The 25,446-nt window shown below is 39.7% G+C and overlaps 1 protein-coding gene and 1 pseudogene across 38 annotated transcripts in view, besides 6 other annotated features; both read right to left on the bottom strand.

The window, feature by feature from the left end:
* The window catches only part of ARNT (aryl hydrocarbon receptor nuclear translocator), a 66,887-nt gene that overhangs the window by 2,544 nt on the left and 38,897 nt on the right, over window positions 1-25,446 (bottom strand). For 10 of the 38 annotated variants that reach the window (NM_178427.3, NM_001668.4, NM_001350226.2 and 7 more), the window contains 15 exons: window positions 24,024-24,237; window positions 22,282-22,384; window positions 20,078-20,143; window positions 19,562-19,647; window positions 17,648-17,724; window positions 16,837-16,971; window positions 14,287-14,361; window positions 10,938-11,089; window positions 5,664-5,774; window positions 5,105-5,177; window positions 4,826-4,946; window positions 4,532-4,634; window positions 4,003-4,150; window positions 1,821-1,983; window positions 916-1,082 (listed from right to left, as the gene is read on the bottom strand). In NM_178427.3, the coding sequence (NP_848514.1) occupies window positions 916-1,082; window positions 1,821-1,983; window positions 4,003-4,150; window positions 4,532-4,634; window positions 4,826-4,946; window positions 5,105-5,177; window positions 5,664-5,774; window positions 10,938-11,089; window positions 14,287-14,361; window positions 16,837-16,971; window positions 17,648-17,724; window positions 19,562-19,647; window positions 20,078-20,143; window positions 22,282-22,384; window positions 24,024-24,237 (1,794 nt within the window). The remainder of the gene's footprint in view (window positions 1-915; window positions 1,083-1,820; window positions 1,984-4,002; window positions 4,151-4,531; window positions 4,635-4,825; window positions 4,947-5,104; window positions 5,178-5,663; window positions 5,775-10,937; window positions 11,090-14,286; window positions 14,362-16,836; window positions 16,972-17,647; window positions 17,725-19,561; window positions 19,648-20,077; window positions 20,144-22,281; window positions 22,385-24,023; window positions 24,238-25,446) is intronic. The other 28 variants (NM_001197325.2, XM_005245151.3, XM_017001291.2 and 25 more) reach the window with 8 other exon arrangements.
* On the bottom strand, window positions 335-442 carry RNU6-1309P (RNA, U6 small nuclear 1309, pseudogene; annotated as a pseudogene).
* Window positions 15,286-15,430: an enhancer, noted in NCBI's record as "145 bp 1:150800090 sequence used in MPRA reporter constructs". NCBI's record gives its function as "activates a minimal TATA-containing promoter with rs2089082 allelic activity by MPRAs in C283T melanocytes {active_cell/tissue: C283T}" and the evidence as "EXISTENCE:reporter gene assay evidence [ECO:0000049][PMID:36423637]".
* Window position 15,358: a transcriptional cis regulatory region, noted in NCBI's record as "rs2089082 or 1:150800090 MPRA-significant variant associated with a GWAS melanoma risk locus at 1q21.3". NCBI's record gives its function as "allelic transcriptional activity by MPRAs in C283T melanocytes {active_cell/tissue: C283T}" and the evidence as "EXISTENCE:reporter gene assay evidence [ECO:0000049][PMID:36423637]".
* Window positions 15,851-15,995: an enhancer, noted in NCBI's record as "145 bp 1:150800655 sequence used in MPRA reporter constructs". NCBI's record gives its function as "activates a minimal TATA-containing promoter with rs10305714 allelic activity by MPRAs in C283T melanocytes {active_cell/tissue: C283T}" and the evidence as "EXISTENCE:reporter gene assay evidence [ECO:0000049][PMID:36423637]".
* Window position 15,923: a transcriptional cis regulatory region, noted in NCBI's record as "rs10305714 or 1:150800655 MPRA-significant variant associated with a GWAS melanoma risk locus at 1q21.3". NCBI's record gives its function as "allelic transcriptional activity by MPRAs in C283T melanocytes {active_cell/tissue: C283T}" and the evidence as "EXISTENCE:reporter gene assay evidence [ECO:0000049][PMID:36423637]".
* Window positions 24,085-24,229: an enhancer, noted in NCBI's record as "145 bp 1:150808889 sequence used in MPRA reporter constructs". NCBI's record gives its function as "activates a minimal TATA-containing promoter with rs2228099 allelic activity by MPRAs in C283T melanocytes {active_cell/tissue: C283T}" and the evidence as "EXISTENCE:reporter gene assay evidence [ECO:0000049][PMID:36423637]".
* Window position 24,157: a transcriptional cis regulatory region, noted in NCBI's record as "rs2228099 or 1:150808889 MPRA-significant variant associated with a GWAS melanoma risk locus at 1q21.3". NCBI's record gives its function as "allelic transcriptional activity by MPRAs in C283T melanocytes {active_cell/tissue: C283T}" and the evidence as "EXISTENCE:reporter gene assay evidence [ECO:0000049][PMID:36423637]".

Below are 25,446 nucleotides of genomic sequence, written 5' to 3' on the forward strand. Positions count from 1 at the left end.
TTGACTCCTTTAGATCGCAGCCTTTTTTCCTAATCCCTTCTGTCTTCCTCCTACAGTTCCACCTTTTTCCTTTTCCTAGTTCTCAATATTTTCAAAGGGAGAAAAATCTGCTTGCTGTATTTCATATAACCCCCTATAGACATATATGGAGTCTCTTATCCTATTTGTTTTCCACCAAGACCTGTTTTGCTTTCTTTCAATCTTTGCTTTAAACCAGCTCTTCCTTTGTCCTGCCTAAGATTACTCCATTCACTCTTGCAGTCCCTCAGGACTTGTGTAAATAGACCATTATGGCTATAATCATTATGTTCTATTTCATTTACTTTTTATAATTTTTTAAATGGAACACTTCATGAATTTGTGTGTCATCCTTACGCAGGGGCCATGCTAATCTTCTCTATATTCATTCCAATTTTAGTATATATGCTGCTGAAGCGAGCACTACTTTTTATTTTTAATCATTCTGTCTCTTTTAAACCCAAAGCTACTGTGACTTGGGTATATGGAGCTATTTGAATGAGCTAAAGTAACTTTCTTTGGCATCTTCCTATGGTGCTAAATTTGTCTGTTCTGGTTAAATGGTATGTATCACACTCAATTCATACTCCTTTTTTGTTTGTTTGACAGGGACAGGATCAGGCTAGTTGCTCAGCCTGGCTTTGAACTCATGGCCTCAAGTGATCCCCTGCTTCAGCCTTCTAAGGGGCTGACATCATATACACAAGCACCACTGCATCTAGCTTCTGCAATCTTTTCAATAACTGACAGTGATCCCTACATTTATCCCTCTCTGTCTTCTCACATATACCCCCAACCAAACACCTCAATCCAGGCATGCTTCCTTCACTGTCTCTCCTCCTCCTGGACCCTTTCTCTCCCAGCTTCTAATTTTTGAAAGTCTTTTCACTCTCTTACCTGGAAGACCTCAGGCTGGCCAGGTTGCTGTGCTGGCGGTTGTTGAACATGTTGCTCACTAGAACTTGAACGATGATGAGGCTGCTGGCCCTGCCACTGTGGCCAGACACCCACACCCTCTGCTGTCCGTGTCTGGAATTGTCCTGCAGTCTGTCCAGTCTCAGGAGCTAGAAATACAGCAAGGAAGAATAAACAACTCCAATCTACACAATTCCATTGTGTACTAATGCCACAAGTAAACAACTATAGGTAAGCCATTAATTTTACCTAGGATAACTCTGTCCTTCTCTCTGCCAATCAATGCCTTTTCTATCTCAAAACTCAGCCCTAAATTAATTCTTCTTCTCCAGGCAGCCTTTCCATAGAGTTCTTTACTCATTTAGGTTAAATGTGCATACTATTAAATGTATAAAAATTCACATGATTTTTGTTATATGTGCTAAAGTATTTTTCATGTGGGTAGTTTTTTTTTTTTATTTTTTATTTTTTTGAGACGGAGTTTCACTCTTGTTGCCCAGGCTGGAGTGCAAAGGCGCGATCTCAGCTCACCGCAACCTCTGCCTCCTGGGTTCAAGCGATTCTCCTGCCTCAGCCGCCCGAGTAGCTGGAATTACAGGCATGCGGTACCACACCCGGTAGAGACAGGGTTTCTCCATGTTGGTCAGGCTGGGGTTGAACTCCCAACCTCAAGTGATCCGCCTGCCTCAGCCTCCCAAAGTGCTGGTATTACAGGCGTGAGCCACCGCACCCAGCTGGTAGGTTTTAAATTCTAAATAGATTGTCACCTTGCATTTCCCTACAATCAGGTCAGTGTACCCACAACACAGGCAAACAACTTTAACTACCAAATCCTTTCTCTTTAGTGGTGCGATTTTCCTGTTACTCTCCTTATGGTCTGGACTCACCAAAGTTAGATCCACGATTGGTGAGACTAGGGTAGGCAGCAGCACCAGGCGATGCAGTTGGGGCACCAGGGAGGGACATGGAGCTGAAGGAGGATGGAGTCTGAAAGCTGCCCACACCAAACTGGGAAGTACGAGTCTTAGCAGTAGCCTGGGTAGCCACCTGCTAAAGAGAGATGGAGAGGGGATATAGAACAAATACAGCATTAACATCATTGCACATACCATGCCTATGAGAGTCAACACTGTCAATCACTGCATCCTTCTGAACCAAGCTCATCACTTATTTCCTATTGTATATTTCTTCCAATTAACTCTCAATCTCTCTTGACACTATTTTTTAGGCAGCTGAGATAAAATTACAAAAAAGCAATGAACTATGGGATTAATAAAAATTGTAAGAATTAAATGAAAGCATCTTATAAACTGTGAAGTTATATAAAACTAGAGGCATTCATAACAGTAAAGTATTATATGCAGGCCAGGCGGGGTGGCTCATGGCTCATGCCTATAATCCCAGCACTTTGGGAGGCCAAGGCAGGCAGACCACCTGAGGTGAGGAGTTCCAGACCAGCCGGGCCAACATGGTGAAATCCCCGTCTCTACTAAAAATACAAAAATTAGCTGGGCATGGTGGCACGTGCCTGTAATCCCAGCAACCCAGGAGGCTGAGGCAGGAGAATCACTTGAACCCGGGAGACAGAGGTTGCAGTGAGCCAAGATCGCGCCACTGCACTCTAGCCTGGGCAACAGCGAGACTCTGTCTCAAAAAAACAAACAACAAAAAAAGTACCATATGCAGAGAAAAACTACTCTGCACCATTATTCTGTCTGTTCTGCATTCATTTGTTCCTAATGATGTATTTTTTATAAAAACTATTTTCTCATGAGAGTTCTGTATATGCATTATAGAATATTCAGAAAGTGAAGGAAAATATAAAGAAAATAAGAATCATTCATAATTCCATGGTTAACATGTTTGGATAATTTCTTCCAGTTTCTATTTTCTCATGCATTTTGTACACAATTGAGATCGTATTGCATATAACATTCTGGAACCTGCTTTTGGTTTTGACTTTTTAAAACTATTACTTGTATAACATAAATATATAGTAATATTAAAGAATCTTTCTTTAGACAGTGTATTTATTGTGCGTTATATTATATATATGAATATTATAAAAGAATTTTTCGGCTGGATGCGGTGGCTCATGCCTGTAATCCCAGCACTTTGGGAGGCCGAGGAGGGCGGATCACGAGGTCAAGAGATCAAGACCATCTTGGCTAACACGGTGAAATGCCGTCTCTACTAAAAATACAAAAAATTAGCCAGGCGTGGTGGCGAGCACCCTGTAGTCCCAGCTACTCGGGAGGCTGAGGCAGGAGAATGGCATGAACCCAGGAAGCGGAGCTTGCAGTGAGCCGAGATCGCGCCACTGCACTCCAGAGCCTGGGCAACAAAGTGACAGTCTGTCTCAAGAAAAAAAAAAAAAAAGAATTTTTCAGCCAGGCGCGGTGGCTCACGCCTGTAATCCCAGCACTTTGGGAGGCTGAGGTGGGCGGATCACAAGGTCAGGAGGTTGAGACCATCCTGGCTAACATGGTGAAACCCCATCTCTACTAAAAATACAAAAAAAAAAAATTAGGCGCAGTGGCGGGCGCCTGTACAAGTCCCAGCTACTTGGAAGGCTGAGGCAGGAGAATGGCGTGAACCCGGGAGGCAGAGCTTGCAGTGAGCCAAGATCGCACCACTGCACTCTAGCCTGGGCGACAGAGCAAGACTCTGTCTCAAAAAAAAAAAAAAAAAGAATTTTTCAACTTTTTTGTAAACAGACATCACTGTAAGTTAGTCATTAATTTTCTCCTTTGCTCCTGCCTTATGGAGTCCTAAACAAAGAGGAAACATCTTAGAATTTACTCCAAAACAAATCTGAAAATCAGACGTGCTCAAAACGTTCCAAGTGAGCAATTCTGATTTAAGGTGAAAACCACAGACTCTACTGAGATTTTTTTTTATTATCTGTGATTTTTAATTAGCTACTCTCAACAAAGATGGAAATTGGAAACCGGAGAACAGGGGTTGGGGAGAAGGTATTTAAAATAGAAAACACTGATTTTACATACGGAAAAAAGCCCAAACAAACAAAAAATAATACACAGGGAACACACAGATGATAAGTTTTACCTGGGCAGAAAAGCCTGAGCGGGTAGTAGGGGTCCAAGTTGGGGTTGCTCCTTGGGTGGGGTTGGAGTGGCGGGAAATCTGGGCCAACATCTGTCCTGCAGAAGCTGATGGCTGGACAATGGTTACAGGAGGGGCTAGGCCACTATTCCTAGGAGTGAATAAATGAGGTAAAAGATTAAAAGGATAGATTTATCACAGAAGCTAGGAATCAAAGGACAATCTAGTGCTATCCCTAGATCCCCTTGACTTCCTGCAGGTTAAGGAAAATTTGATAACAATTTGGAAAAGACAAGAAAGACTGACAGTCACACACTGACCAGGACACACAGAGATGGAGCCTAGAACATGGCAATAGGACAGGTGCAAAGAAATAGGAGGAAGAAAAGCAGCTTGTTTGCCTCACGCTAGGCCCTACAAGCTTCACTGCTTTTTCTGAAGTAACCAGAGAAAGCAAGGGAAGAATAAAATTTGGATTCAGCAGCTGAATCCCTCAGGGCCCTGTAAAGCAGCACATATATACGGGGCTCACCTGAAATTCTCTGCCGGCCGGGGGGTAGGAGGGAATGTGTTGCCCTGGGAGAATAGCTGTTGGGTGGCAGGGACAGTGCTGGAGGAGATGCCTTTACTCTGATCTGTGGACCAAAAGGAGTTGGGGAAGGGCCAGTCAAGGGGCTGTAGTATATTAGTTCAGCAAGTTCCTATTTACTCAGGTGGTATTATGATTAAGTGGAAAAACACTGGAAGATTACTGACTGGGCAGTGGCATGCCCATCAGTAAGTGATCTAAATGAGAATTTAAAAGGATAATGAGAAAGAAACATACCCGCATTGATGTTGTGATAGATTTCTGAAAATCTTGGATCTCTATCCTGGGCAAATAAACCATCTGACTTCTCAAGGGGCTTGCTGTGTTCTGGTCCTGTGGTTGTCACAGGCTGAACCACCTGTGGAATACAATGATAAAAATAACCATTAAAGATTTAACATGACAATTCAATAACCCTAAAATTCATATACAACATATGTACATTCTAACTAGTACCGGAGAACACTTCCTAAGTAAATACTCCCTACCCTCTTCAACGAAGAGGACACAACTCACCTGGGAATGATTGTAGCTGGCCAGTCCATCTCTTCCTGGTACCATGTCCAATTCTGTTTGCTGTTGCTGCTGCCTATATGTCAAAGGCCAGTTGACAAGACAAATAGAAAAAAAAATTTTTTTTAAAAAAGAATCTGGAGAAAGAACCTTAAAACAAATTAAACAGGCCGGGCATGGTGGCTCATGCCTGTAATCCCAACACTTTGGGAGGCCGAAGCAGGTGGATCACCTGAGGTCAGGAGTTCGACACCAGCCTGGCCAACATGGCAAAACCCCGTCTCTACTAAAAATACAAAAAATTAGCCGGGGGTGGTGGCAGGCACCTGTAATCCCAGCTATTTGGGAGGCTGAGGCAGGTGAATCACTTGAACCCAGGAGACAGAGGTCACAGTGAGCCTAGATCGTGCCATTGTATTCCATCCAGCCTGAGCAATGAGAGCAAAACTCCTTCTCAAAAAAAAAAAAAAAAAATTAACCAACCGAACAAAAAATATATGGGATTGCAAATGACCACCCCCTGGGTGACTGCTCAACAGATGATTATTTCACCCTTTTTTACCTGGGTGCCAGCTGTCCTGAGCCCATCTCCAGGGGTAAATTAGCTGTGGGACCTAGTTGTGGCCTCTGGATTGTGTTGGAGAGTGTAGGCCGTGGTTCTTGGCTAGAGTTCCTAGGAAACCAGAGTAGACAGTAAAGAGGGGGTGGAGAGGGAGGAAGGGGGGAGAGAGAGAGAAAGAGAAGAATAAGATTCTGTATGTAAAGCTCTATAGATTCATCTGTAGGTGGAACAATCAATAAATCCTTCATTAAAGTCCTATCCTATAGTTAATCTAGGGTGTCAGTTTCAGCAAACAGAAACCATGTTCTATGACACAGGGGTCATCTTGTTGGGTTCTAACTCCTTCTAGGTATTCAAAACCTGGTTATTGTGAATGTGTGTATATATTCATATAAGGTATTTTTTAAAAGCATAGGTAAAAAAATGAAAGTACATACACTGTACATCAACAAAGACTATCTGGAGTGTGAGAATTTTATTCCTTCTCTTTGTATTTTTCAATACTTTCCACATTTTCTATAAAGAATATTTATTTAAAAATAAAATACTGGCCAGGCACGGTGGCTTACACCTGTAATCCTGGCACTTTGGGAGGCTGAGGCAGGGTGGATTGCTTGAGCTCAGGAGTTTGAGACCAGCCTGGGCAACATGGTGAAGCTCCGTCTCTACAAAAAATACAAAAATTAGCAGGCGTGGTGGCGGGCTCCTGTAGTCCCAGATACTCAGGAGACAGATGGGAGGATTGCTTGAGCCTGGGAGGCGGAGGTTGCAGTGAGCTGAGATAGCGCCACCGCACTCCAGCCTGGGTGACAGAGTGAGACACTGTCTCAATGAAACAAACAAACAAACAAATCCCTAAAAGCTAATTAAAATTAATCATGGTAGGGAAAATGATACATAAACATGGAGAAAGCAATTATTTCCAGAAACTCGAGTCCTTCAAACAACTTAAATTTTTAAAAATTTAAACAAAATGGAAACACAAAAATGAAGGCTGTTGTGTAATATAAAGATGCAAAGAGACAAAAATAAAGAACTACAATGACCATGACCATCCACTTGAGTCCTAAGTTAATAAAAATTTCTAACTCAATCCACTCTGTTATACTAAGTTAGTTAGCAAAGAATTAAACTTTACAAGTTCTAAAGACTGAATTGGACAAAACTTGTCACTAGGTATTATTCATATTTGCTAAGTAGTCATAATCTGATCTTCAAGAGGTGGATTCAAGGCCAATTCTACAGAAAGAAAAGATTAAATGGCAAGGTGGTAACCTGACAATTGATACCTACTAGATGGCTACAATAAAAAAAAAAAGGCAATAACAAGTGTTAACAAGGATGTGGAGGAATCAGAGCTCCTGGGAATGCAAAATGATGGGGCAGCTTTGGAAAACAGTTTGGCAGTTCCTCAAAAGGTAAAACAGAGTTACTATGTGGCCAGCAATTCCACTCCTGGGTGGAATTCAAGAGAATAAAAACATATATCCACATAAAAACTAGTAAACAAATATTCATGAAAGCATTTTTTCAGTTCCTTATCCCTATTTTACATATGGAAGCATTTTTGATAACCAAGAAGTAGAAACAACCAAATGTCCATTAACGAACATACAGACAGTATGTGGTATATCCATACAATGAAATCTTATTTGGCAATAAAAAGAAATGAAGTACTGATACATGCTACAACATGTATCAGTACAGATAACCTCTGTAAACATTATACTAAGTAAAATAGGCCAGTTACAAAGGAATTACAAAGTCTATGATTCCATTTATACGAAAAGTCTAGAATAGACAAATTTATAAAGACAACAGATTCATAGTTATACAGAATTTCAGAGCCGGGGGAAAGAACAGGGAATGACTGTTAACTGATCTAGAATTTCTTTTGGGGGAATGAAAATATTCTGAAATTAGACTGCAGTAAGAGTTACATAACTATGTGATATACTAAAAAACACTGTATACTTTAAATGAGTGAGGTATATGGTATGTGAAATATATCTCATAAAACTTTTTAAAAAAGAAACTGAGAAAGAAAACTCAAATAGAAAAGTGCAAAAGAGAGGAACAGTAACTAATGAAAGAGGAGGATGTAGCTATGCTCTAAAGAAAACTGACCAAATCAGGCCCACTGCCTGTTTTTCTAAATAAAGATTTACTGGAACACAGCCCCATTCTTTCATTTGTCTATGACTGTTTTCATGCTACAGCAGAGTTGAGTAGGTGGAATAAAGACCACATGGCCCACAAAGCCTAAAATATTTACTATCTAGCCCCACTTATAGAAAGAGCTTGCCTACCCCTGCTCCAGAGGAAAATCCTGCCAGACTAGAGCAATAAACTGGTGTACAAAACATAGTCCTTTCCAGAAAGAGTTGATACATAGAATTGAAACTAAACCCTTCCATCTCAGGACCTAGTCTCTGAATTATTGTTTGTAAAATCTTACTCTGGCCAGGTGCAGTGGCTTACGCCTGTGATCCTAGCACTTTGGGAGGACGATGGACTGCTTGTGCCCAGGAGTTTAAGACCAGACTCTGCAACATGGAAAAATCCCATCTCTACAAAAAATACAAAAATTAGCCAGGCGTCTTGGTAGATGTCTGTAGTCCCAGCTACTCAGGGGACTGAGGTGGGAGGATCACTTGAGCCTGGGAGGTTCAAGCTGCAGTGAGCCATGATCACACCACTGCATTCCAGCCTGGGTGCCAGAGCGAGACCCTGTCTGAAAAAACAAAACAAAACAAAACAAAACAAAAAAACCTTACTCTACTCTGATCAACTATCCCAAATCCTATAAGCTGGAAAATGAAGAACTTCAAACTAATGGTGTTTAATACTAGAAAAGTAGAGGAGAAAGGGATAGCTTGATAAGACTAAGAAGAGTTGGTACATTAGAAATCCCAACATTGGAAAATGCCTATGTGATATTATGAAATACAACTGATTGCTCAACATGGAGGCTAGGGGCACTGACCCCTGTGCCATCGAAAATTCGACTGTAAACTTCTGACTCTCCCAAAACGTTACTACTAATAGCCTACTGTTGGCCAGAAGCCTTACCAATAACATAAGCAGTTGAACACGTTTTGTATGTTGTACGTATTATGTACTGTATTCTTACAATAAAGCTAAAGAGAAAATGTTATTAAGAAAATCATAAGGAAGAGAAAATGCATTTACAGCACTGTACTGTATTTATCGTTATCATAAGCTTATATCATCTTACAAGATGACTTACAAGATGAGTCATCTATATGAAGTGGCAAGCAACCACAGCTGCAGACTTCATTCTATAGTACATATCAAGCAATTCACCTTTTTCTTATAATGTCATGACTTTTCCCTGCTTCTTGGGAAGACTTCCAGCATCACTAGTGGCACTTCATACTGTTCCCAAATGTTATTCAAGGTTTCAGTATTGCACTCAACACGATGAAAAATATGCAAGAACCATGAGATTTCACTGTTTACTGCAATATGCAATTTACTGGAGTGAATTGCTCATGAAGAGATGATTAGCATCACACAGCATTTTAAGCAAACTGGCAACAATTGAGCAATAGGTGGCTACCAAATTATTACAACAGTACAGTATATACTATAGTTAACTTTACGCGGTTATGATTTAAAACTGCATCTTTACATTTGTTTACATTTCTCTCAACTACAAATGGTGCCATTGTACAAACGGTGTGTATGTATACGTTGTGATACATTTTTATTTTTATTTTTTTTGAGATGGAGTCTCCCTCTGTCACCCAGGCTGGAGTGCAGTGGTGCGATCTCAGCTCACTGCAACCTCCACCTCCCAGGTTCAAGTGATTCTCATACCTTAACCTCCCAAGTAGCTGGGACTATAGGCGTGTGCCACCATGCCCAGCTAATTTTTGTATTTTCTTTTTTTTTTTTTTTTTTTTTTCAGTAGAGACAGGGTTTCACCATGTTGGCCAGGCTGGTCTCGAACTCCTGACCTCAAGTGATCTGCTCAACTTGGTATCCCAACTTGGTATCCCAAAGTGATAAAGTGATGGGATTACAGGTGTGAGCCACTGCACCTGTCCAGCATTTTTACTTTTTATAATAGATTTGTATATGTTGTATGGTAGTAAATGATAAAATAGACTAGAATTTATATATATTTAATACATTCATGTATGACATGGCTAACTTTTTCTAATTTTTTCAATATATCCAGGCTATGTAGCTTATTTTTGGGTTTTTCAAATTGTCACAAATATCAAAAGAATTTTCTAATATATTTACTGAAAAAAATCCATGTATAAGTGGACCTGGATTTTTACCAATTAAAATCTTTGGAATCTTCAGTGTGATAAGTGTCTTTTTGTCTGCTAATGAGTTGACTGAGGGCTGGCAACCCCTAGGTAGCTTCAAGATGGGGGCTCATCTCTGGAAAGATCAAGGTAAAATTAGAGGGCTGGGACTTTTAGCCCTAACCCTCAACCTCATGGAGGGGAGCCGGTACCTAAGGTTAAGTTGATTACCAATGGCCAATGATTTAATCACTCATGGCTACATAATGAAATTTCCATTAAAACCCAAAAGGACTGGGTTTGAGGAGCTTCTTGATAGGTAAACACATGGAGATCCCCGGAGGGTAGCCCACCCAGAAAGGGTCTGAAAGCTCTGCACTCCTTCCTCCTTACCTTGCCCTATCTATCTCTTCATCTGATGTACAAAGTATCCTTTGTAATATCCTTTATAATAAACTGGTAAACATAGGTAAATGTTCCCTGAGCCATTCAAGCAAATTGACTGAACCCAAGTAGGGGGTCATGGGAGACAGCTGGTCAGTCAGATGCACAGGTAAAACAACCTGGGGCTTGCAACTGGCATCAGAAGTGGGAGCAGTCTTGTGGTACTGCATACACAAATTGGGGGATCTGATGCTATCTCCAAGTAGATAGTGAACTGAATTGAATGGAAGGACACCCAGCTGGTGTCCACTACTGATTGCTTGATTTCTTTTTTCTTTTTCTTTTTTTGAAATGGAGTCTCGCTCTGTAGCCCAGGCTGGAGTGCAGTGGCATGATCCCAGCTCACTGCAACCTCCACCTCTCAGGTTCAAGTGATTCTCCTGTCTCAGCCTCCAGAGTAGCTGGGACTACAGGCACATGCCACCACGCCCGGCTAAATTTTTGTGTTGTTGCTTGATTGTTTACCCCCCACATAGGGCATCAGAAGTGTTTTCTGTTGTGAGAACAGAGGAAAAACAGTTTTTTCACACTCCTGTATAATACATACTTCACATTGGTGTTGGTACAGATGATGTACTCAATTTCATCTGAGTAAGGGTTCTGGAAAGTAAAGGAGCTGGTTCTCATCCAGAGCCATTCTTGGTTCTTAGACCGGAACCGGAACATGACAGACAGCACTTGGCCTTTTAATTTCACTACCTGAAAAAGTTTTCATGCCATCAGTGGAACTCATAGAAAATTTTCATTACAAAAATAAATAAAAATTTTCCAATTTCTATAACCCTAAAACTCTTGTCATTGTCCTTGAGGCACCAATATTTTTCAATATTAAAACAAAATGAGAGTAAAAACTAAGTGATTAAACATGGAAGCATATTTCTCATGCTTCCTTTCAGAGACTTAAGCTTTTTTTTTTTTTTTTGAGACGGAGTCTCCCTCTGTCGCCCAGGCTGGAGTGCAGTGGCACGATCTCTGCTCACTGCAACCACCACCCCTCGGGTTCAAGCGATTTTCTTGCCTCAGCCTCCCGAGTGGCTGGGACTACAGGCGCGTGCCACCACGCCCAGCTAATTTTTTGTATTTTTAGTAGAGACGGGGTTTCACCATGTTAGCCAGGATGGTCTTGATCTCCTGACCTTGTGATCCGCCCGCCTCGGCCTCCCAAAGTGCTGGGATTACAAGTGTGAGCCACCGTGCCCAGACTTTTTTTTTTTTGAGACGGAGTCTCGCTCTGTCACCAGGCTAGAGTGCAGTGGCGCAATCTCGGCTCACTACAACCTCCGACTCCCTGGTTCAAGCGATTCTCCTGCCTCAGCCTCCCAAGTAGCTGAGATTATAGGCACGTGCCACCACGCCCAGCTAATTTTTGTATTTTTAGTATAGACGGGGTTTCACCATGTTGGCCAGGATGGTCTCGATTTCCCGACCTCGGGATCCGCCTGCCTCGGCCTCCCAAAGTGCTAGGATTACAGGCGTGAGCCACTGAGCCCGGCCAGAGACTCAAGCTTTCTTATTAGGTTGGTGCAAAAGTAATTGCATTTTTTGCCATTTAAAAAAATGGCAAAAAATCACAATTTCTTTTGCACCAACCTAATACTATTCTAGTCAAATAGGAATAATAACTTATTTCCAGGAAGGAAAAGACTGTTTCCCTACTTCCCTTGGGAAATCCATTAAAGATACTCTGACCTAGCTTTACAAGTCTATACCAGAAATTTGGTAAGTTTAAGGACACAGAATATAGCTTATATATTGCTCTTCAATCCTATTTTTTCCCCGAAACCTGAGAACATCTGTTTTCTTTTCTTTTTCTTTTTTTTTTTTTTTGAGATGGAGTCTCGCTCTGTCGCCAGGCTGGAGTGCAGTGGTGCAATCTTGGCTCACTGCAACCTCGCCTCCAGGGTTCAAGTGATTCTCCTGCCTCAGCCTCCTGAGTAGCTGGGGACTAGAGGCGTGCACCATCACGCCCAGCTAATTTTTGTATTTTTAGTAGAGACGGGTTTTCACCATGTTGGCTAGGCTGGTCTCAAACTCCTGACCTCAAATGATCCGCCTGCCTTGGCCTCCCAAAGTGCTGGGATTATAGGTGTGAGCCACTGCACCCAGATGAGAGCATCTGTTTTCACAGCATCTACAGAGGTTTCCATAAATAAAATTAAGTTGGCTTTAGTCTTGTTTTGCTTTTATTTTTTAAAAGTAATTTTAGTTATTTTATTTTTTATTTTATTTTATTTTTAGACAGTCTTGCTCTATCGCCCAGGCTGGAGTGCAGTGGGGCAATCTTGGGTCACTGCAACCTCTGCCTCCTGGGTTCAAGCAATTCTCATGCCTCAGCCTCCCAAGTAGCTGGGACTACAGGCATGAGCCACCATACCCGGCTAATTTTTGTATTTTTAGTAGAGACAGGGTTTCAAGATGTTGGCCAGGCTGGTTCAAACTCCTGGCTTCAAGTGATCACCTGCCTCAGCCTCCCAAAGTGCTGGGATTACAGGCATGAGCGACCATGCCCAGCCAATTTTAGGTTATTTTAGATACTAGTCTCATGGAATAGAAAATAATCTTTTAACTCTATATTCCTAAAAATTAAAAAAATAAAAATAAACAGTATTAGAAGCTAACCACTTATTTTGTAATACTACGTATCAAATACTGGGTGATGTGTTTTATATTCATTACCTTATTTAATCTTCCCAACAACCGTCTGAATTTAGGTACTATTAATATATTCATTGTATCAATAACGACACTACTGAGACTTAAAGAGGTTAATTAACTTGTCTAATACAAAGTAAAAACCGTTATCAAAAGCCATGTCTATAAAATTCACCAGATATTTTCAGGAGCTGGAGCCTGAGAATGACAATTAACAGTCAGCTTATATAATTCATTACGACTCTCACTCATCCATAAAAGAACAGTCTAGGCTGGGCGCAATGGCTCATGCCTGTAATCCTAGCACCTTGGGAGGCTGAGGTGGGTGGATCACGAGGTCAGGAGATCGAGACCATCCTGGCCAACGTGGTGAAACCCCGCCTCTACTAAAAATACAAAAATTAGCTGGGCGTGGCAGCATGTGCCTATAATCCCAGCTACTCGGGGGGCTGAAACAGGAGAATCGCTTGAACCTAAGAGGCAGAGGTTACAATGAGCTGAGATTGCACACTACACTCCACCCTGGCGACAGAGCTAGACTCCTTCTAAAAAAAAAAAAAAACTATATAAAATGAATTTTTCTACTACAAGCTTAGTGAAGTATACAATTTTCTTTTTTATCTTTTTTTTTTTGAGACAGAGTCTAGCTCTGTCATCCAGGCTAGAGTACAGTGGCATGATCTCAGTTCACAGCAACCTCTGCCTCCCAGGTTCAAGTGATTCTCGTGCCTCAGCCTCCCGAGTACCTGGGATTACAGGCATGCACCACCATACCAGGCTAATTTTTTGTATTTTTAGTAGACATGGGGTTTCACTGTGTTGGCCAGGCTGGGCTTGAACTCCTGGCCTCAAGTGATCCACCTGCCTCAGCCTCCCAGAGTGCTGGGATTATAGGCGTGAGCCACCATGCCCAGACGAGGAAAACATCTATTTTCACAGCATCTACAGAGGTTGGGCGCATGAGCCACCATGCCTGGCGCAATAGTTTAAATACCTTAAAGACAGCTCCTTGGATACAGTTAATTGAATACAAGACAGTAAATAGCCAAAGCCAAACAGAAATACCTTGGGCATTATCCATAATTTCAAAGTATTAGTCCTTTTCTATTCCTTAAAAATGCAGATTAACTACTAAAGAACATAAAACTGTAGTGCCTGCCACAGTGTTCAGTTAATCAGTAGTCAATATTTATGGAGTGAATATGACAAATATTTATTCAGAACCAAACCAGGAAAAAAGTTACCTGTTGGAAGCTGTCTCTTAGAAGCTGCTGGTCTTCAGGATGACAGAATTCTACAATATTCTTTCCTAAGAGTTCCTAGAATACAGAAAGAAGAGTAAGATATATACTTTTTTTTTTTTAAGATGGAGTTTCGCTCTTGTTGCCCAGGCTGGAGTACGATGGCGCGATCTTGGCTCACTGCAACCTCCACCTCCTGAGTTCAAGCAATTTTCCTGTCTCAACCTCCCAAGTAGCTGGGATTACAGGGGTGTGCTACCACACCTGGCTAATTTTGTATTTTTTTAAATAGAGACAGGGTTTCACCATGTTGGTCAGGCTGGTCTCGAACTCCTGACCTCAAGTGATCCACCCGCCTCGGCCTCCCAAAGCGCTGGGATTACAGGTGTGAGCCACCGTGCCCAGCCAACATATATAATTTTATGGTCATCTAACTGGCCTGGTCCATCAGCTGGGGACCTGGATTTTATTTCTTCTGTTTTAATCCTAAGATTATAGTTAAGTGAGGAGGAGAAAAAAAAAAGACAATAAACAAAAGATGAAATCTACTAAAAAAAGGCAGAATCTGTTAAGGAGCTGGCTTCTAAAACATTTTTCTTTCTCAGAATATTATACATTTATTTTAATGAGATTATAAATTTTAGATAAAATTTACATTCATAATTCAGCCATTCTAAGTGTATGATTTGATGATGTCTACTAAATTTATAGTTGTGCAATGATTACCACAATCCAGTTTCAGAACACATTCACTGCCCCAAGATGTTCCCTTGTGCCATCTGCAGTCAATCTCTGCTCCCACTCCAACTCCCCAGCCAACCACAAATCTGCTTTCTGCCTCTCTAGTTCTGCTATTTCTACAAATTTCATATAAATAAAACAACATAATATGTGGTCTTTTGGGTCTGGCTTCTTTCATTGAGCATGGTATTTTTGAAGTTCATCTACATGGCTGCATTATCAGTAGTTTATTCCTTTTTATGCTCAGTAGTATTCTCACATGGATACAACACAGTTGTGTATTCATTTACAAAATGTTAATGGACGTTTAAATAGTTTTCATTTTTTTGGCTATTATGAATAATACAGATATGAACTGTGTACAAATCTATGGGTGAACATGTTTTCATTTCTCTTAGGTAGATACTCAGGAATAAAATTGCTAGGTTATAGGCTAAGAGTATGTTTAACTTTGTAGGAAACTGCCAAAATGCTTTTGCAAAGCTAGTAGCTATACCATTTTACATGTCTATCAGCAATGTATGAGGGTTCCTTCCAGCTTCTACACATTTTCACCAATACTTTTTGATTACAGCCATTCTAGTGGGTATATAGTGGTATCTCATTGTGATTTTAATTTGCACTTTCCTAATGGTAAAAAGATGTTGAGCATCTTTTCATGTGCATAAATGCATATTTATTCTTCAGTCAAATGTCAAGTCTTATGCTCTTTTTTACCAGCTGTTTGTCTTAATGAGTTGTTTATATATTCCTGGTACAAATCCTCTTTCAGGTATATGACTTGTAACTATTTTCTCTCCATTTATGTCTGGTCTTTTCATTTTCTTAATAATATCCTTTAAAGAGGGCAAATTTTAATTACAATTAAATCCAATTTATAATTTTTTTTCTTCTGTGAATCATGCTTTTAGTGTAAGAAATCTTTTGCCTAACTCAAAATCACAAAGATTTTCTCCTAGGAGTTTATTTGTAACTTTAGCTCTTACACATTTAGGCCTCTAAGCTGATTTTTGTAAATTGTATGAGGTAAGATCTATGTGTTTTCATTTTTGGGTGTGGTTTTTTTTTTGTTTTTTTTTTTTTTTGCATACAGATATCCAATTGTTCCATTTGTTAGAAATATTTATTTTATCCATTGAATTGTCTTGTCACCTTTGCTGAAAATTAGTTGACAAGTATAAGAATAGACCTTATTCTGGTCTATTGATCTATATATCTATCCTTACACCAACACCACAGTGTCTTGGTAATAGCTTTATAGTTAGTGTTGAATCAGGTAGTGTAAATTCTCTTTGTTCTTTGTTTTCAAGACCTCTTTTTCACCAACCTCTTTCACATAGCCACAGCCAGAAGTCCTTCCGACCCACAACAGTTTTAAAAGTTTATATGATGCGTCAATTCAGAGATGGCTAACTGGTCTGTTGCATGAGTAAATTATAATAACTGGTGCTAAATCTGCATGTTTTATGGGCCATTATTCATTTAGGTAATTACATGAATTATCTAAATGTAGCTATACTGGTATAACTAATTAATATGAGTACCTTTGAATCATCTGTATTAATATCAACAACAAAAAATAAATACATATTTGTACCTGCTGCTCCCACCTGGTTTGACAAGCCATATTTCTCTACATGAGATGACAGTCCTAATAGGAAGCTGAAAATAATGTTAGGTACTAACAGAATATGATGATCTCTTTTTCTTAACTGAGGTTGATATGTTTTGGCTGTCTTAGGAACTACATGATTACATAATGTCAACATAGCCAAAGGAAAATGGAGGCCTAATGGAGCTCCAGCTCCTCACCTGTGGCTGGTAGCCAACAGTAGCCACACAGCGGTGATCCACAAAAGTGAAGATACCCTCAATGTTGTGTCGGGAGATGAACTCTGTTGGTTGACAAACATTACTCATGTCTGTACAGTTGGGAGAACTAGTTACCTGAGAGTGAAGAGATAAAAATGAGGTAAAATGATACCATTATTTACAGATGTATTTCCTATCTCCTCATGGTCTTTTGCATAGACATAAGATTCCCAGTTTTAGGACTTTCTAAACTTTCACATTTTATCCAAAAAGGAAAAAAAAATGACAATCACAATCAGACAAGGCATAAGGTCTAGCTCTGCTCCCATACATTTACACTTTACCAAGTTAGTAAAGTAAGAATAAAGTTTATTCAATCTAAAATCCACATACTGGCTATGCTGAACTCATTACTCAGGTTGATATGGTACAAGTAACCAAGAAACTTATCTATACTTATGAAAAAATCAAAATAATTCCACTTTTCTATTGTTAGTCAGGTAATGATACAATGAAAAGGATCTTTCTTCTTTTGTATAGGGGCAAAGGAAATTAACTGGAAATAGAAAATTAAGCATAGTAAAGCTAAAATTAAGACAAGGGGAAAAAGATCTCCCTCCTCTCATACTTTTCAACTTTACTTAAATCCAAGAATAGCAATGGTCACTATAAATGCCATATTCCTTCAAATTTTGAGAGTTTTATGGAATTCTTCATTTGTATTCAGAAAGTAAAAGAAAATTAACAGGAATGAGTCCTGAAGATCTGCTCTAATTGAACGGGAATATAGATGTGGAAAATTCATACTTGCCTGCAATCTGCCAATGGCCACTAGGCAAAACTTGCTTCCCTGGCCAGCCTCTGGGTCATCATCTGGGAGGGAAACACCTTCAGAAACGTGACGTTAAAAGGTTTAACGGGGACCTCCAACTCAAATGCCTTCAAAACTCAGACAAGTAAAGATTCAAAATAGACCTATTTATGGGCCAGGCACCGTGGCTGACGCCTGTAATCCCAACACTTTGGGAAGCCAAGGTGGGCGGATCACTTGAGGACCAGCCTGGCCGACACAGTGAAACCCCATCTCTACTAAAAATACAAAAATTAGCCAGGCATGGTGGCATGCACCTGTAATCCCAGCTACTTGGGAGGCTGAGGTGAGAGAATCACTTGAACCCAGGAGGCGGAGGATGCAGTGAGCCGAGATCGCACTACTGCACTCCAGCCTGGGCGACAGACAGAGTGAGACTCCCTCTCAAAAAAAAAACCAAAAAGCAAAACAAAACAAAATACATCTAGTTATGAAGAGGCTAAGCATAAAGCAATAGAGAATGATAAATAAGAATAAACAAGTATATAAAACTTACCATATATGCCAGTCATTGTTTTAAGTATTTACATATATATTAATTCCTACATTTTACCCATGTTAATTATAGTAAACTGGAAAATACAAGTCCTACCCAGAGTACTCTAAAAAACTATGCTGGCCAAATATGGCACATATGAAGACATCCATTCTATGACCATGTTATAGGCAGAAAATTTATGCTTTGCCTAATCTGTAACTTTTAAAGTTAGCAAGCAACCCAAAATGAAGTTATACCAACCATCAATAGTTATTCATGTCCCTTGGAAAAGAGAAAAACCAATGTTTTACACAGAAAGGGAAGAAGACTGCATTTCTCCCCTGTTTTTTGCATAGTTATACTCTTTTTATCCAGAAAAATAGTATTCCTTGATGCTACATAGAGGTATGAAAGATCACATACTTTAACTGTGTGGCTTATATAGTATATAGACTAAGTAGTTCAAATGTCATTACTACTTCAGTTAAATTTTTTTAAATTACATTAATTACTTTTATTGGGTTACCTGCCATATGCCAGGCACTGGGCTGGATGCTTTCCTTACATTAAATCTAATCCTCACAAAAACCCTATACAGGATGTACTAACTCTGAATTACAGATGAGAAAACTGAGCTTTATAAAGGTCAAGCAACTTACCCTAGGTGATGCCACTAATAAGTAACAATGACAGGAATCACATCCAGGTTTCTCCACATCCAAAGTTTAACCTTTTTCCAAAACACATCACCTTGCTTCTCTTTTCTCTTAGTTTCTGTCTCCCCAAAACCCCTACTTTCCAATAATACCCAGGCAGCAGGGAAGTAATAAAGTTGCTAAGATTTGGAAACTCTGACAAGCCAACTTAAAACTTTGATCCTGCAACCCAATCACCTTTCTCACATTCCTTGTTTGACCTCAAGTTCTGGTAAAGCTAATCTGCTCAAAGCTTGATTTAAAGTCTTTGCAGAGAATATCCTCTTGATAAGTTATTACAATAAAGGCATTTTCCCCTTTTCTCTCAAAGTCTTGTTCCTACTTTAGAAATCTTTCTCAAATTAACTGCATTCAATGTCTAAGTTTCTTTGCAACAAATGCTTAGAATACATATGTTCAGTATAAATTTGTTCACATAAAAACCACATTCTGTGACACAGCCAATACTGAATCATTTTCCAGCCTGAGTTATCTATCTCCTCAACTGGAATAAAAGCTCAATAATGGAAGGGAAGGATTGTACATTTTCTTTTCCTATTTTCTTTCATCTTACACAAAAGTACATTTCATATACCAGGTATATAATAAATATTAGCTTTCATGGACTCTGTGAGGAACCAACTGTACCAAGGGGAAATATTTACTATTTCACTTTCTTACCTGCTGGGGGCCAGGCCTTGATGTAGCCTGTGCAGTGGACCACCACGAAGTGAGGTTCCCCATCCTTTACAGAGCCAAGTCCATTCCTAGAAGAGTTACAGGAGTTTGAAAAAAAAAAAAAAAATCTACCCGTAAAACTCAAAGGGCAATGCTGCCTTAGTACTTTTAAGTTTATGCTCTTAGGAGTTTAGAAAACAGGATAATCATCTTTCCCACCCAAAAATGACCGCCACATTTTTACCCTTGCCAAAGTAAAGTAACCAAAAGGTATGCAGTAGGAGGAAAGTAGGTAAAATAGCATAGCGACTTCCTTAAACAGGATTTTCAAGAGAAGTTTTAGAAGTTTAGGAAAATATTGCCAGAAAAAAAGTAAGTGGGAGGTAAGGGATGTTAAGTGGGAGGTAAGGGATGCAAGTGAGAGCTGCTGAAGGAACGACTACAGTAAGACAGGTAAAAATGTGATGATCTCTGCAGGTATTTGGCCATCCCTTTGGTTTTCACCACTTAGGATCTCACCTGCATCTGTTCCTCACAAAGCTCAGCCTATTCACAGAAACTGGGTCCACAGAGCTACTGCCACACCTGTTTCAAGGAATAAAGAGATTAAAAGCAATCAGACTGCCCTATCAAAGAACTTTCCACAGTAATAGCAGAATAACATGCTCTGGATACAACCAGACATAGAAAATTGGTAATGCTACTAATAATGAAGGATAAAGATAGGTCAAGTTTAGTATTTCTAAAACTTTTAGAATTTGAAGTCAAAATGTTCCATATGTTCTTCATATGCAAACATTCTCAACATCAAGAGTTGGCAAGCTTTTTCTGTAAAGGACCAGATAGTACATATTTTCAGCTTTGCGGGCCAGAAAGTCTGTTGCAACTAGTCAACTCTAGCATTATAGCATGAAAATAGCCATAGATAATATGTAAAAATATGGGCATGGCTATGTTCCAATAAAACTTTATTTACAAATAAAGGGCTGTGGTTTGCTTACTCCTGCTCTACATTAACCACAACTTAATGTAATTGCTACAGTTCATTATTATCTTGCTCTTGCCTATGTCTTTGCATTAGCCATGTCCACATATTGGGATACTCCTGCCAATGCTACTTTCCCTCTCCCTATCCTTTAAAACAAAAATAAAACTTACATAGGGTTAATATGTGTCATGCTCTGTTCTAAATATCTTTACATATATTAATTCATCTAATCTTCATAACAACTTTATAAAGTCAGTATTAACATTATCGCCAATGTGAGATGATGAAATCAAAGCACAATGTAGTCATGTAATCATCCAAGGTTTCAGAAGATAGCATCAAAGCTAGAATTCAAATCCATAGAATATGGATTAAAACAAAATCCAGCAGTCTGGGTCTAGAAGCTACTCTAAATTACACGCTGGGTGCAGTGGTTCAGGCCTGTAATCTCAGCACTTTGGGAGGCTGACGCAGGCGAATCACTTGAGGTCAAGAGTTTGAGGCCAGCCTGGCCAACATGGTGAAACACTGTTTTACTAAAAATACAAAAATTAGCCAGCTGTGGTGGCAATCCAGCTACTCAGGAAACTGAGGCATGAGAATCGCTTGAACCCAGGAGGTAGAGGTTGTAATGACCCAAGATCATGCCACTGCACTCCAGCCTGGGCAACAGAGCAAGACTCTGTCTCAAAAAAATAAATAAATAAAAATAAAAATAAATCACTAAACCACATAATGTTCAATTTTGTGCCTCTCCAAGCAAACCTTTAATATCCTACCCATAATTTCTAGCAACTATCCTCTCAGTACAATGTAGTCAATTTCCATTATATAGCCTGAACTTTGTGACCCTGAGATGCCTTTTGTACCTGTATAGAAAGGACCACCATATTTTCTACAGAATCCTAAAACGTACAGTATATAATTTATAAACACTAAACACCTACTGAAAGACATAGGAAGTCTCAAATTTCTAACCAAAAAAAAAAAGAAGAAATGGTCTGAGTAAATGGATATTGCCTTGTGTTGTAACAGGGAAAAAGTAGAGGTTTTGTAGTCAGACTACTATGAATTAAAACAAAATCCTGTATCAAACAGTATGTAACAGTGGGAAATTCATTTCTTTTTCTTTTTCTTTTTTTTTTTTTTGAGACAGAGTTTCACTCTTTTTGCCTAGGCTGGAGTGTAATGGCACAATCTCGGCTCACTGCAACCTCCACCTCCTGGGTTCAAGCAATTGTCCTGCCTCAGCCTCCAAGTGGCTGGGATTATGGGCGCACGCCACCACGCCCGTCTAATTTTGTTGTTGTTTTTTTTTAGTAGAGATGGGGTTTCACCATGTTGGCCAGGCTGGTCTCAAACTCCTGACCTCAGGTGATCCACTCGCCTCAGCCTCCTAAAGTGCTGGGATTACAGCCTTGAGCCACTGCACCTGGCCAAGTTCATTTCTTTATATCTGTTTTTCCATCTGCAAAATGGTAACCATCAATCTTACACTACAAGGCAATTGTGAGGATAAAATAAGATGACAGATATAAAGCACCTATCATAGTGTCTGGCAAGTTCAGAAACGTTAGTTCCCTTTCCAAATACTTTATTCTGTGTTACAATCCATCTGGGTATGGAGAGTTAAATTTAATCCACTGGAGCTAATCCAACTTAACTCTGACAGAAATAAAACTCTCAGCTCTTGATCCTTCCTATACCAAATCACAATCCTCAGCTTGACACTCACCTCATTCGGCAAATAAACGATCTCCTTGAGCCCATACACATTCTCATGGAAGACTGCTGACCTTCCTTTTTCACTGTTCCAGTCTTTAGATCCAGGATACGCCCTGAAGGAAGATGTGAAGAGCAGTCTGGAGTGCATTTTTGTGTGTGGGGAAGAGGGGGAGAGATACTGAAGGCAAAGATAAGTAAGCATCCTATTCATGCCCTTAATCTCCTTGCTTATAACAGAACTGACCAAGCAGGAGATGAATTTTTTTTCAAGCCTAAAATACTTCAATTATCATCAATGAATCTCACTCTTAAGTTCAAAGGCAGCATTGAAAATAACATTGTGCAAGGAAAAGTAGGAGTGGAAAGTAGTAGTAGAAAACAAGAGGCAAGGCTATATTCTCATAGCTGATTATCTGTATACACATACAGACATACATACAGAGTAAATGTCATTGGTTGAAAAACAAGTACTTTTCTGTAGTCCCAGCTAATCAGGAGGCTGAGGCAGGAGGACTGCTTGAGGGCAGGAGTTTGAGGCTGTAGTGTGCTATGACTGTGCCTGTGAAGAGTCACTGTACTCTAGCCTCAGCAATAAAGCAAGACCTTGTCTCAAAAAAAAAAAAAAGAATAAAAAGAAAAAATTTTAAAAAGAAAAAAACCAAGTAATTTTATATGTTATAGAAACATATAGATCTGTTTGTCTTCTTTATTATACAGAAACGAAGAACAACTTTTGGGGAAAAGGAAGAACTAGAAAAATGAAATCATAAAAACATAAAGGAGGGGAAAACTGGTCAAGTGTGGTGGCTCATGCCGATAATCCCAGCCCTTTGAGAAGCCAAGATGGGAGGAGGAATGCTGAAGGCCAGGAGTTTGAGACCAGTCTGGGCAACAGACAGAACCTGTCTCTACAAAAAATTTAAAAATTGGTCAAGTGTGGTGACATGAACTACTCCTAGCTACTCAAGAAGCTGTAAGCAGGCAGATTACTGAGCCCAGAAGAGTTCAAGATTACAGTAAGCTATGATGTGCCACCGTACTCCAGCCTAGGCAAGAGAGAGACCCTGTCTCTTTTTTGGGTGGGAAAAAAGGAGGAAAACTAAAGATCAACAACACTAATATGAGTATATTGAAATTTCTTGCATTTTAACTACCAGTTTTTTTATCTGCTTCCACTTTAAATTTTTTTCTAGAGTTGCTCAAGAATAGATATGACTTGTTTCCTCTAGCCAAACTCTGGCCAAAAGACTGAACATAATAAAATAGGGGAGAAAAAAAGAACAACAGTACAGATACAAACAACAACAACAACAACAACAGAAAACACCTTATACATTGACCAATAACCATATCTATAGAATAAAAAGCTGTTATCATTGAACCTAGCACAAAGCCAAGCACCAGGAGGTAGAAAAAATACCAGATAATTATCCATACAAATGAGATAAAAACATGGATAATTCTTTTAGAACGGAAAAAAAAAAGTATTGTAGGTTTGGCTTTTACTGTTCTATTTATACCAATATTAAGATAAATGTAAAATATTATCACCAATGAAATATTTTCTAAGGCTGAGCCACAAAGTAGATAATCTCATATGGATAAAAAGAACTGACTATATTCATTAAAGTAGAAAATTCTTGAAGCCTTGCCAGAGTCAACAAACCAATTTAACAGCTAAAACATCTCTTAAGTCTCAGGAAAAAAACAAGAAAGGACTTCTCATTCATTTCCCATACACATAACTCTCACCTGTCAGGGCATTTTCTGAAGTGGAAAGCTGCTCACGAAGTTTATCCACATCATCTGGGTGCACCTGATCATAGAGTGTGCTGCCAAACCATTCAGACTGTGGCTGGTTCAAAACAGGAGTCACGGAGTCAGACACATACACCACCCTGCCTGTCTCACATGAGACAATAAACAGAAAGCCATCTGCTGCCTCCAAGATCAAATGTTTCAGTTCCTGCGCAAGAAAAAGAAATAGAAGTTAATATTTTACTCTGAAAAAACAAGTATTTCTATTCACAGGAAGAAGTAAGACACTTCAGGCCACATGCATCTCTCCGTAAGCAACTGCTGGTTCACACCTGATCCACAGCCACAGGTTTCCACCCTAAATGTAGTTCATCGATAAGAAAGTTTTTTCTAATACATGTTTCCTCACTTTCTCTATGTCACTATCCACCTCTTCCTCTCTATCTCAGGATTCAAGAAGAATAAAAAGGCTTGGGCTAGGCACAGCGGCTCCCGCCGGTAATCCCAGCACTTTGGGAGGTCAAAGTGGGAGGGTCACTGAGTCCAGGAGTTCAAGACCAGCCTAGGCAATGGGGCGAAACTCCATCTTTACAAACAAACAAAACAAAACAAAACAAAAACAAAAACAAAACTAGCCAGGTGTGGTGGCACACGCCTGTAGTCCCAGCTACTCCGGAGGCTGAGGTGGGAGGATCACCTGAGCCTGGGAAGCAGAGGTTGCAGTGAGCCGAGATCATACCACCACACTCCAGCCTGAGCGACAGAGCAAGAGACCCTGTCTCAAAAAAAAAAAGGCTTACCATGAACAATAATTGACTTCTTAATTCCATCCTCTCTGGTCTCTTTTTAGGATCTTGCTTGACAAATATTCCCACTTTCTCTCTTTCCCTTCAGGCCTATAAAAATGATCAAGTTTTCTCAATTCTAGATAAATCTTCCCTCAGTTTGACCCACCTCATCTCTCTTTTTCAGCAGCAAGCTTATACTAAGAATAATGTTATATTCACTGGCTTTATCCTCTTACCTTTCAATTATTTCTCAATCCCACTTCACTCTCACTCTAAACTACTGTTTTCCTGTTTGGTTTGGTTTTTGTTCTGCCAGGAACAGCATACATATATTTTTAATGAGGTTACTAATGTCCTCCTAATTACCAATTCAAGTCCCTTTTCCTGGGTCTTCATCACTTTATTCAACCTCTCTGCAGAATGTGACAATGTCGTCCATCTTATCCTTTAAATTTTATTTTTCCCTACCTTCTTCTATGAGACTGTACTCCAATTTTTGCTTCCTCTTCTGTTTCAGACTTCCTTTCCTTTGTTCAAGTCTTAAATGTAGACATTTCCAAAGTTCATCTTAAGCCCTCTTTATTAATACCATACTTTCTTCCTGGGAAACCATATTCACTCTTCCCCAC

The sequence above is a fragment of the Homo sapiens genome, chromosome 1, assembly GCF_000001405.40.
Source record: "Homo sapiens chromosome 1, GRCh38.p14 Primary Assembly".
NCBI classification, from domain to species: Eukaryota; Metazoa; Chordata; class Mammalia; order Primates; family Hominidae; genus Homo; species Homo sapiens.